This window comes from Homo sapiens, chromosome 1, assembly GCF_000001405.40.
Source record: "Homo sapiens chromosome 1, GRCh38.p14 Primary Assembly".
Lineage (NCBI taxonomy): Eukaryota > Metazoa > Chordata > Mammalia > Primates > Hominidae > Homo > Homo sapiens.
In genome coordinates, this window is record NC_000001.11 from 112,532,132 (window position 1) to 112,544,139 (window position 12,008).

The 12,008-nt window shown below is 39.5% G+C and overlaps 1 protein-coding gene across 22 annotated transcripts in view; it reads right to left on the minus strand.

The window, feature by feature from the left end:
- ST7L (suppression of tumorigenicity 7 like) overlaps nt 1-12,008 on the minus strand; it is a 101,882-nt gene that overhangs the window by 14,329 nt on the left and 75,545 nt on the right. For 18 of the 22 annotated variants that reach the window (XR_007061293.1, XM_011541628.3, XM_011541631.4 and 15 more), the window contains one exon: nt 9,820-9,959. Coding sequence is in view for 17 of the 22 variants with exons in the window: in XM_011541628.3 (XP_011539930.1) it covers nt 9,820-9,959 (140 nt within the window). In the remaining 5 variants the exon portion in view is untranslated. Of the gene's footprint in view, nt 1-8,647; nt 8,742-9,648; nt 9,960-12,008 lie in introns of those variants that run through there. The other 4 variants (XR_007061292.1, XR_007061291.1, XR_946675.3 and 1 more) reach the window with 3 other exon arrangements.

Sequence of the window (12,008 nt, forward strand, 5' to 3'; positions counted from 1 at the left end):
ATAAATAAAAAACATCCAGCTGAATTTTATCAGAGGGCAAAGTTTCAACTTTGAGTGCCCCAGCAACCAAGGATGAATTATGCATAAGATTAGTAAAGTGCCTTCGTCCACACCCTAGACAGAGAACATTTTTCTATCTCACTGTGACTGAAGGAAAACCAGCAATGTATTTGCCTGCCAAGAACAGCTGTGGCTGTACTCTTGATAGGAGTCTAACAACACTGTCGGATTAAAATTTAATTGTAAAGCTGCTGCTACCTGGGAGTAAAAGCATGAGCTCTGGCTTCAGAAAGAAACTGGGACTGCAGCATATTGAATAAATGAAGACGAGAGCTGGCATGTTCCTAACAAAGAGTGTGGGAATGTGCTCCCTTCTCCAACTGTCCCCTAAGCTGCATCTTTCTCTGTCACATTGGTCATCTGCAAGGATGTTTAAAGGAAACATAGCCCTTTTCTACACTTTGAACAGTTTTATTTCTAGAATGCTTGAAATTACAGAGTGAGGTCAGAAGGTGATTATGTGATCTGCATTCTCTGAATATCCTACTCTTAATTTTGTTAAGTATTATTGAATCCCAAATAATTTCTCTCCTTGAAGCTGGCTACTGTCAAGACAGACTTAAGACAATCTTAATGTTATTACAGAACAAAGATAATTTTATGATTTCCTCAAATTCAGATAGAACACCCAATTAAAACCCAATATTTTATTGAGGCCTCATGAGCATTAAGGAACACACCCAAGTTTCCTACCTATTGATACAATTACTAGAAGTACCTCTGCTACCTAAAATTCCTACTTTAGGGAAAAAAGTTATAGGTTATGATATTTTAGACCAAAAGTTTATTATGTTCAGTTTATCTTTCCCCTACAATCCTTCACAAACTTGCCCTTTGATTTTGAAAGAAGACTGATATTGAAACATAAGGTATACATTTATACTTCATATTAAAACTTTAAAAAAGTAACTTGAGAGTCAAATTCCCTCTGAATCATTACAAACCAGGGCTTACTGTTTCTTTAGTATTATTGTACATTTTAAGCACTTAGAGAGGCTGAAGTCTATGCAGTAACGTTTGAGTATGCAATGTAAATGACCAAGCGGCATTCTTTCTTAAGTAGCTAACTAGCAAGAGGAATGACATTGGAATGAATCAGTTTGAAAGAAAAGCATATGTGCGTTATTTTATTTTATTTTTTTTTTTGAGATGGAGTCTCGCTCTGTTGCCAGGCTGGAGTGCAGTGGCGTGATCCTGGCTCACGGCAATCTTGGCCTCCTGGGTTCAAGTGATTCTCCTGCCTCAGCCTCCCAAGTAGCTGGGACTACAGGCGCGCCACCACGCCCAGCCAATTTTTGTATTTTTAGTAGAGACGCGGTTTCACCATGTTGGCCAGGATCGTCTTGATCTCTTGACTCATGATCCACCTGCCTTGGCCTCCCAAAGTGCTGGGATTACAGGCGTGAACCACCACGCCCGGCTGAGTTCTTTATTTTTAAGTAATTAATTTATGTATATATGTATGTATGTACCTATTTATTTAAGACAAGGTCTTGCTCTGTGTCCCAGGCTGGAATGTGGTGTTGCTATCATGGCTTACCATAACCTCCAACTCCTGGGCTCAGATGATTCTCCTGTCTCCGCCTTCTAAGTAGCTGAAACTACAGGGGTGCGCCACCATGCCTGGCTAATTTGTTTTTATTTTTACTTTTCATTTTTATGAGCTCTTACTACTATAATTACTACTGTAATTGCCCAGGCTGGTCTCGAACTCCTGGGCTCAAGCAATCCTCCCACCTCAGCCTCCCAAAGTGCTGGGATTACAGGTGTCAGCCACCATGCACAGCTTTCATTCTTTATTTTAAAGCATTGGAGTTCATCAAACAGACTTAAACTGTGAAGAGTACTCCCAGGCAGCTTATTTGCCCACTGATACTTGTCTTTGCAGTAAACATTTCTCCAACCTAAGCACCCTTTTTATTTTTCTGACAATCCACATCAGTATCTTCATTTAAAACTCTTCTCCAAATTTAACTCTTTTAGGAAAGTTTCTCTAGCAAGCCACTGGATATCACCACTCTGTCATTCTCTATTCCCTCAGCATTACTATCTCTGGTATGAAATTTATTCTTTTGTACTCATTTCAGTGTAAGTTATGAAGTGATATATTATTGAAATCAAAAGTATGTATCATGACTAAAAGTAATAAGCTATCTTATCAATTGTGTAATTTTAGGCACATCACTTAACTTTGATGACTCAAACTTTACATCTATAATGTTCCCATGGTTTCGGTAAGTCTATGTTCCAATGGCTCCAGTAAGAATAAATGAGGATATAAGTATAATCTCTTTTAAAAAATGAAGCACTAACTGAAGTCTGAGTTACTCTTGGTTTAGAATTGTAATATATTATGTAGTCTCACTAATTTAGTTCATTTGATTGGTAGGGGAAGGGAGCCAAACTCCACCAAGATAAAAGCTAAAAACTATTCCTCAATATTATAATTTTCTTCTGTACCCCATGATTCTCCCAATTTAGAGGACTATGCTGGGTCTGCAAGATAGAGATGTTTTCTAAAACAAAGATCAGTGTTTCCTATTGTGAATTATAATATCACTAGGAGAATGGGTTTCGAATGAGTGATTTATATCACTATCTAAGCACAGCTCTTCTAAAAACTGCTAAGCACTCCATGTGTCCCAAGCGCTAATGATTAAGCAATAAATATATCAGTAGCAGTTAGTGACATGATGTCCTAAATTTTAGCAATGAGATTTTCACTTTGAGGGGGAAAAAAGATGATTAAACATATGTGAAACAAATTCTGGGAGAGCTTCTGTGAACCTCATACTTGACAGGCACATGTTAATGGGAAAAAAGGATACTTTCTACCAACTTTAAAACTGAATTAAACCCTGGGGAAGGGATATACACATGCGTTAAACGGTATATTGTTGGCTGGGCGCAGTGGCTCACACCTGTAATCCCAGCACTTTGGGAGGCCCAGGTGGGTGGATCACTTGAGTTCAGGAGTTCAAGACTAGCCTGGCCAACATGGTGAAACCCTGTCTCTACCAAAAATACAAAAATTAGCCAGGCATGGTGGTACATATTGTAGTCCCAACTACTTGGGAGGCTGAGGTGGGCATATGGTTTGAGCCAGGAAGGTGGAGATTGCAGTGAGCCCAGATGGTGCCACTGCACTCCATCCTGGGCAACAGAGGCAGACTCTGTCTCCAAATAATAATACTAATAATAATAAGAAGAAGAAGAAGAAGAAGAAGAAGATGAAGAAGAAGAAGTACATTGACATGGCTGGGCACGGTGGCTCAAGCCTGTAATCCCAGCATTTTGGTAGGCCGGTGTGGACAGATTGCTTGAGCTCAGGAGTTGGAGACCAGCCTGGGCAACAAAGTGAGACCCCATCTCTATAACAAATTTTTAAAAATTAGCCTAGCATGGAGGCACATACTTGTAGTCCCAGCTACTCGGGAGGCTGAGGTGGGAGGATCACTTGAGCCCAGGTTGCAGTGAGCCGAGATGGCACCACTGCACTCCTGCCTGGGTGAGAGAGTGAGACTCTGTCTCAAAAAAAAAAAAAAGTACATTTTCCTAACTTTTATTATTTTCTTTCCCCCTTAGAAGAGCTCAGTGCTTAGAAAATCTGGATGAATAATAATACCAGCAATTTCACAAATTTCTTAGTTTGGTTCTTTTTGAAGCAGAAAAACAAGGATGAAACATGAGAAATACCCTTCTAGGAGGTAGAGAACGTCTTTTCTCTTGATCCAAAATCCCAGTTAGTAAAGAAAATTAAAATTGAATATGCGAGACTGCCCAAATAAAGACTTTAGATGCACCAACAATGGAACAAATATGTAAACATTTAAAAATTTTGACCTGTCACACAATAGGTTTATTTTATTATCTGTATTATCTCTGGGAAACAACTCAGATTTATAACTGTGGAAATAGCATGGTTATAGAATATTTTACAGAAATGTAAGTTTAGTTACATTTCAAAATGTTTTTAAAACTGTATCAGTTCTTACGAACTAAAAAAGTCTCATAGCTTTGAAAGTAATCCATTTTCAAACAAAGTGAAGAAATTTATTTTAATCATTAATTTAATTTCTGAATGTGGCCCTAGGAATTTAATAAAGAAGTATACAACTATCATGTCACAGGTTATAATAATGGAAAACTCAGAACCTTTAAAAAAACATATATTTTTCAATTGGTATACATTAATATATAGTTATAATTGTTTATTAACTCCCCCGGTTCTGAAGATCAATCTTTTCCCTGAAAAAAATGGTAAGAATAGTGGACAAATCTTCCCAAAAGTTTTGTTCACTTTTCAGTAAAAGACACTTGGCATTTATATCTGCTTATTCTTTTAAAAATGTAATTTGGGAAGAAAAATTTTAATTATTTTTGAGAAGGGACTAAAGAAACCCCAGTGAGACATTCTGTAGAGAGGTTCTTTGTTAGTGTAACATCTGACCTTCTATATCTTTGGAAATCATGCAACTTGGCTAATGTAGTCCTTAAAGAATTAATCAAGCAGATTGTAAGGCCCTAGTTACAGTGGAGCCAGCCAATTATGAGTTGCTCAGAAATTCATCATTGGCATGTCCAACCACATTTTCCCACATAAAGATTAGTAGAAATATGTGGAAACAAAGCCCATTCCCACCGCAGCACAGCTACAATATGCGTTCAGTAAAACAAACTTCAACAAAGTTTTGCTGTACTAAAACAGACAATTTATTTGGGAATCTCTGATTCCTACCTTTACCTGTAACACCCTTTTCTGCCAAAATTGCAAAGACTACCCTGTTTAGTTAAAACCCAACTAGGGACTTTTTTTTTTTTTGAGATGGAGTCTCACTCTGTTACCCAGGCTGGAGTGCAGCGACGCGATCTCGGCTCACTGCAACTTCCGCCTTCTAGGTTCAAGCAGTTCTCCTGCCTCAGCCTCCCAAGTAGCTGGGATTACAGGCAAGTACCACCACGCCCAGCTAATTTTTTTTGTATTTTTAGTAGAGACGGGGTTTCACCATGTTGGCCAGGCTGGTCTCTAACTCCTGACCTCAAGTGATCCGCAGGCCTCAGCCTTCCAAAGTGCTGAGATTACAGGCGTGAGCCACCATGACTGGCCCCAATTAGAGACTTTAATATTTAAACACACTTCTGAATTCAAAACACTAAAGTCACATACCACAAGTCTGAGTTTGTCAGTAAGTTAGTGAAACCCCCAAGACCATCTTTAAGTCTTTTCACTGTTGTGATAATACCTTCCCAAGCCTTGCTAAGAAGAACACTTTTCTTGCAAGAGAAATTAAAGGGGCCAGAGTAGAAGATTGGTTCTCTAAGGAGAGGGCAGTGCTGTTGTTAAATAAAGAAGCTCCTTTCAGATAAGCAGAATCAGATTCCAGTTCAGTTGGTTTGCTGGCTACCCTTACTTTGAACTCTCATATTTAATCCAGCAGGCTTCAAAGCAGGTGAGAAAATGACCTACCACTTAAAAGCAATTTTTCCTTTTTCAGGAATTCTGGCCTTAGAGAATATCAGCTCTGATATAAGCACATTCCACATCTCCAGGGATTTATGCAACACTTTTTCATTGCTCTGTGTCTAATGTCAGACTAGGTTTTCATCTCAGCCAGGAGAAAAATCAGGGGAAAAAAGTCCTAACTTGCTAAAAATGAAGTCTATTCCACATAGCCGTATACCATGCAAAAGAAGAGGCACTAAAACCATTAGCCATTCTAGTTCATTCCCTTTCATTTCTCTAAATCTGATGTACAGTGAGAATTATTTAAAATCAGTGTCCAGTGCCTGGCCTCACCATAACACAATTTTTTTAACAAATGCATTTTAAGAAATTCAAACTCAATTTGCTCTGGCATGTGAGCTATTATGAAAAGATATTAGATGAGAAAGAGACAATGGTAACAATAAAGAAATTTAGGAAATTTTTAAAAAGTCTGTCTTCTGAAGTAGAACAAGTATGTCTCAAAGATTCTTCACCAATTTCTACTTTATTTGGCCATCAAATATCTGAATTAACTGGAAATGCTAACACAGACAGTTTGCAGCTTACCAACAGGTTCTGTTCTACAAGGTAGTTTGCCAGTGCCTAGAACCTGAAACATTTCTTCACCTTCTACATTCATATACACATAATGTGCCAGAAGCATAGTATTACAGTATTTTTTTTGAGACAGGGTCTTGCTCTGTTGCCCAGGCTGGAGTGCAATAGTGAAATCATGGCTCACTGCAGCCTCCACCTCCCAGGCTCAAGCGATCCTCCCATTTTAGCCCCCTGAATAGCTGGGACCACAGGTGCACACCACCACGCCTGGCTAATTTTTTTGTATATTTGGAAGAGATGGGGTTTCACCATGTTACCCGGGCTGGTCATGAACTCCTGAGCTCAAGTGATCCGCCTGCCTTGGCCTCCCAAAGTGCTGGGATTACAAGCACGAGAGCCATTGCACCTGGCCTACTAATAGTGTTTTAAAAATTATACCCAATCACCATTTATACTACAGTTTCTATGGAAAAATGCATTTTGAGCTGACTGTTAGGACATATCTCCTTTAAACAAGAAGGGGGTAGGGTTTCCCACTATTGCACTTTGGTGATGATGATGACAATAAAGGTAGCAACAACAGCTAACACTCACCTAGTTTTTACTGTGGGTAGACATAGTCCTAACACTTGCATATTTTAAAGTCATTTAACGCTCACCAAAACCCATGAGAGGTAGTATTATTCTCATTTTACAACTAAGGGTAGAAAAGGTTAAGTAACTAACCCGAGGTTGTACAGCATTGTTTCAGGGCTAGAATTCAAAGCAAAGCAGCCTGCCTCCAGAATCTATTTCATAATGACTCTGCAATGCTGCCTCTTTTCCACCTTGACAAGGCAGCACTATCGAGCTGTTCTAAATTCCTCTTATTGGGGGTAGAGTACAGCAAGTTTCTCCAAGCTTTAAATGTATATATAGGATCACCTGGGGATCTTGTTAAAATGTAGATTCTGATTCAGAAGGTCTGGAATGGTGCCTGAAGTTATGCATTTTTCATGAGCTCCTGGGTGATGGTGATGCTCCTACTGCATAGAGCAAACACTGTGAAGTGGTGAAGAAGTGTAATTTAAGCCTTTAGTTCCCTTGCTGTTTGTCTGTCTATAAAGGCATCTACACATTGTGTTTATAAGCTGGAAACTGGCCGGGTGCGGTGGCTCACGCCTGTAGTCCCAGCACTTTGGGAGGCCAAGGTGGGTTGATCACTTGAGGTCAGAAGTTCGAGACCAGCCTGGCCAACATGGCAAAACCCCATCTCTACTAAAAATACAAAAGTTAGCTGGGCGTTGTGGCACGTGCCTGTAGTCCCAGCTATGTGGGAGGCTGAGGCAGGAAAACTGCTTGAACCTAGAAGGCGGAGGTTGCAGTGAGCTGAGATCACGCCATTGCACTCTAGTCTGGGTGACAGAGCGAGACTCTGTTTCAAAAAAAAAAAAAAAAAAGAAAAAGAAAAAGAAAAGAAAGCTGGAAACTGCCCATACCACAGTCATTTCCCATTAACTCTTAAATGGAACCTGCCTTTGGAAATCCTGCACAAATATTGGTTTGCAGGAACTTTCAGTAAATACTTAGCTTTTAGGGTTTTAAAATGTACATGTAAAGGCCACAGGGATAAAAATGTGGCTGTAAAAGTTTACCATTAGGCACATTCTTAACACTATATACCATCACCTATACAGATACCAAAATAAATGCTTGTTTATTATCCATCAACTAGAAAAGCAGTATATCAATAACTTTTGGTCTGAAAAAGAAGCTTCCATTTAAAATATGTAATTATTCATTCTCAGTCTCTACTAGAGGAGTGCTAAGGAACTTATGCTATGTAATCGTAAAGATTCTTCTGGTGCCATTAGTGACTGCCTAGGTAAAGGCAGACACTATAAACATTAATTGTAGCTTGCACCCCATGGAAATATACTACTAACAGTTGGTATAGATCTATTCCAGATTCTAGATCTCCCTCCTTGCTCTATTTCACTTCCTTCCCACTCCACTTGCCTGAGACAAATCCAAGAATCATCTCTCCCATTGCTTGCCTGTGATCTCACATACACAGTTGCACATTTTCTTTCCAGCTATTAAATGGATGGAATTCTCTTTCTAGGCCATTTTTATTCGATGCCAGATTACATAGTAAGGTCATTTCAGTTTGAGATGCACTCACTCAACTATTAGCACTACTGCAAATAACAGTTATGAGTATGATCACTAAGTGTTCATTTTACACTGAAAAGAAATAGAATAGTCAGTTTCCAAACCAAATAGCTATACTCCCTGAACAACAGTGGAAAGTCATTCTTCTTGAAGTTTGACCCAGAATCAAGTGCAGACTCAGACTCCTAGGCCTACAGCCAGTGGCAACTTAACACATTATATGGTTGACCTTCAGGGAAAAAGGGAAACCACTGCTCTTACCACTGGTGCCAGAAAAAAGCCAACTAATCTTTAAGGCACAAAATAAACTATTCTTAAGGCAGAAAAAGAAACTGTGAGGAAACAAGTTAGAATGGAGGCATATAGAGAAAAATACAGAAAATACATTACCAAGTAAGGACTAGTTTTTCCATGGTTCTCAGTGTTTTCATTTTTGGGAATATAATTAATCAGCATTTTCTTTTTGGGTTTTAACTCCTACTACCTGGTAGAAATGCAAAGATGTACAAGAAAGATGCATTTTTAAAAAGGCTTGGAGACTTAAAGGCAATTATCTTTGCTAATTTTACTTTGAGCCAGTGACATTAATAAGTTCATATAGAAAAGTAAATAGTTGCTGGGCATGGCGGCTCATGCCTGTAATCCCAGCACTTTGGGAGGCTGAGGCGGGCAGATCACTTGAGCCCAGGAGTTCAAGACCAGCCTGGGCAACATGGCAAAACCCTGCCTCTACAAAAAATACAAACATTAGCTGGGCATGGTGGCATGTGCCTATAGTCCCAGCTACTCGGGGGGCTGAGGCGGGAGGACTGTTGAACCCAGGAGGCGGAGGCTGCAGTGAGCTGAGATCGTACCACTGCACTCCAGCCTGGGTCACAGCGAGACCTTGTCTCAGAAAAAAAAAAAAAAGTAAATAGTGATGGGATACCCACTCTAGTATCAGTCCTCAAGTGTTAACTGGTTCAGGAAATGGGGAAGTAGTTCAAAACTAAAGGGTAAAAATGAAAATATAGAACTACACATGGTTCTATATCCAAGTCTGGGGAAGTAAGAACAAGCAGACACAATAACTTGGAGAACCTTTGAGACATAGGCACATTCTGTACCTAGGGACAAATGTCCCATCTGTTCCCCCGCCTTATGTACTTATTATCCATCCTAGTTGTGCTCTTGAGTTTAAAGTTCAACAAATCCTGAGAACTAATGATTTCATTTAAATGAAAAAAATCAAAGGGTTTGTTTACAAAATAGGGTATTTTTAAAAATACCAAAGATAGTAACAAATGCTGTTTATCACCAAAAGTGATCTATAAGAGCAAACTTTATAATGTTATATTGTTACAATCTTATATTGTATTCTTTAAACTTTTAAGCAACAGAAGTAGCTCAAATCACCAAAAATTTATGTTTGATGTATTTATGGCAGCAACTATATACAAATCAATTCCTTTAATTTACAACAAATATCTTCCATTGTTCAGCTGGGTTAGCACAGGCAGATCAGAGATGGTTTCTTGTGTGTTTTACAAATAATCTACACAAGTCCTTGAGATCATACTTACAGCTTTAGCAAAAATACCCATGATTTCAGGAAACTGGTGAGTGAGAATGGCTATCATTGCTGTAGAAGAGCAAAATCCTGCTGTGAAATGGATGAACAAAGGAAGCTCCTTTTTTGGGTAAACAGAAACATGATGAAAGGCTGCAATGGAGAATAGGTAAGAATCAATTTTATTTCAGAATAACATGTAAACAAGTCTTAATCTTTTCAAATGAAATCTGTTTTTAAAAATTAAAAAGAAAAAAAATTTAAAAAGGAAAGTCTCTGGCTAAGCAAGGTAGAAGACAGTTATCCATTATTTATCCCAGCATCAACAGCATATCTAAATAGCCAGACAACTGTGCTGGGTGTGGGAACAGGATGGCGTCATGGGAAAGAATATTGATTACAAAATCATGCTGAGGTGATTTTGAAAAAAAGCTTTGTCACTTATTAGCTATGTGATCTTGAATAAGTTGCTAAACCCTCTAGAAGTTGCTATGGAGAGTTGTAATGATGAACATTTTAAGTGCTTAATGTGAGTTGCAGCCACAGGTGGTGGTTCACGTCTGTAATCCCAGCGCTTTGGGGGGCCAAAGAGGAGGATCGCTTAAAGCCAGGCATGCGACACTAACCTAAGCAAAATCGTGCTTAAAAATTTTTAAAAATTTTAAAAATTAGCCCAGCATGGTGGTGTGTGCCTGTAGGTCCAGCTACTCTGGAGGATGAGATGGGAAAATCACTGGAACCCAGGAGTTTGAGGCTGCAGTGAGCTATGATCATTCCACTGCACTCCAGCCTGGGTGACAGACCTGTCTCTAAATAAATAAATAAATAAATAAATAAATAAATAAATAAATACATTTGAGTTGCTACTTTTTTTTTTGAAGAAGAAGAGTCTCGCTCTGTTGCCTAGGCTGGAGTGCAGTGACATGATCTCGGCTCACTGCAACCTCTGCCACCCAGGTTCAAGTGACTCTTGTGCCTTAGCCTCCCAAGTAGCTGGGATTACATGCACAGGCCACTACGCCCAGCTACTTTTTTGTATTTTTAGTAGAGAGGGGTTTTGCCATGTTGGCCAGGCTGGTCTCAAACTCCTGGCCTAAAGTGATCCGTCCACCTCGGCCTCCCAAAGCGCTGGGATTACAGGTATAAGCCACCACACCTGGCATTGAGTTGTTATTAATTATTGTTCTTTGGGAGCTCAAAGACTAGTATGGAGAAAGAGGCAGACATGTCATTGGTGATTTCCTAGGACCATCAGTTAATAATTTTACCCAGTTATTAATGTGTTTATATATGTGGCATTTCATTAGGCACTGTAAAACTAAAGTAGGTAAGACGGGAGCAGTGGCTCACGCCTGTAATCCCAGCACCTTGGGAGGCTAAGTCGGGTGGATCACGAGGTCAGGAGATCGAGACCATCCTGGCCAACATGGTGAAACCCCGTCTCTACTAAAAATATAAAAATTAGGTGGGCGTGGTGACACGCGCCTATAGTCCCAGCTACTCAGGAAGGCTGAGCAGGAAAATCGCTTGAACCCGGGAGGCGGAGGGTGCAGTGAGCTGGGATTGTGCCACTGCACTCCAGCCTGGCAACAGAGCAAGACTCTGTCTCAAAAATAAATATGTAAATTAATTAATAAATAAAGTAGGTAGGCCAGGTGTGGTTGCTCATGTCTGTAATCCCAGCACTTTGGGAGGCCGAGGCAGGTGAATCATTTGAGTTCAGGGGTTTGAGATCAGCTTGGCCAACATAGTGAAACCCCATCTCTACTAAAAATAGAAAGATTAGCCAGGCATGGTGACGTGCACCTATAGTCACAGCTACTTGGGAGGCTGAGGCAGGAGGATCGCTAGAACCTGAGAGGCAGAGGTTGCAGTGAGCCAAGATCATGCCACTGCACTCTAGCCTGGGCAACAGAGTGAGACTCTATCTCAAAAAAAAAAAAAAAAAAAAAAACCTAAACTAGCAAACTGAAGGCCTAGGATTCTGACCATAAATAAAGTCCCTTGTCTTATTTTACCATATTTACATATTTACTCAGCTATTATTTTTCTAGTGATTGGATATTTCGTTATCAATTATACTCAAGTATTTATATTTTATTTGAAATTTGAAAATACTTGAATAACAATACTGAGATGAGCCTATTAGAGTACTTAACATGCAGTAGGTGCTCAATAAATGTCTGCTAAACTGAGAGCTAT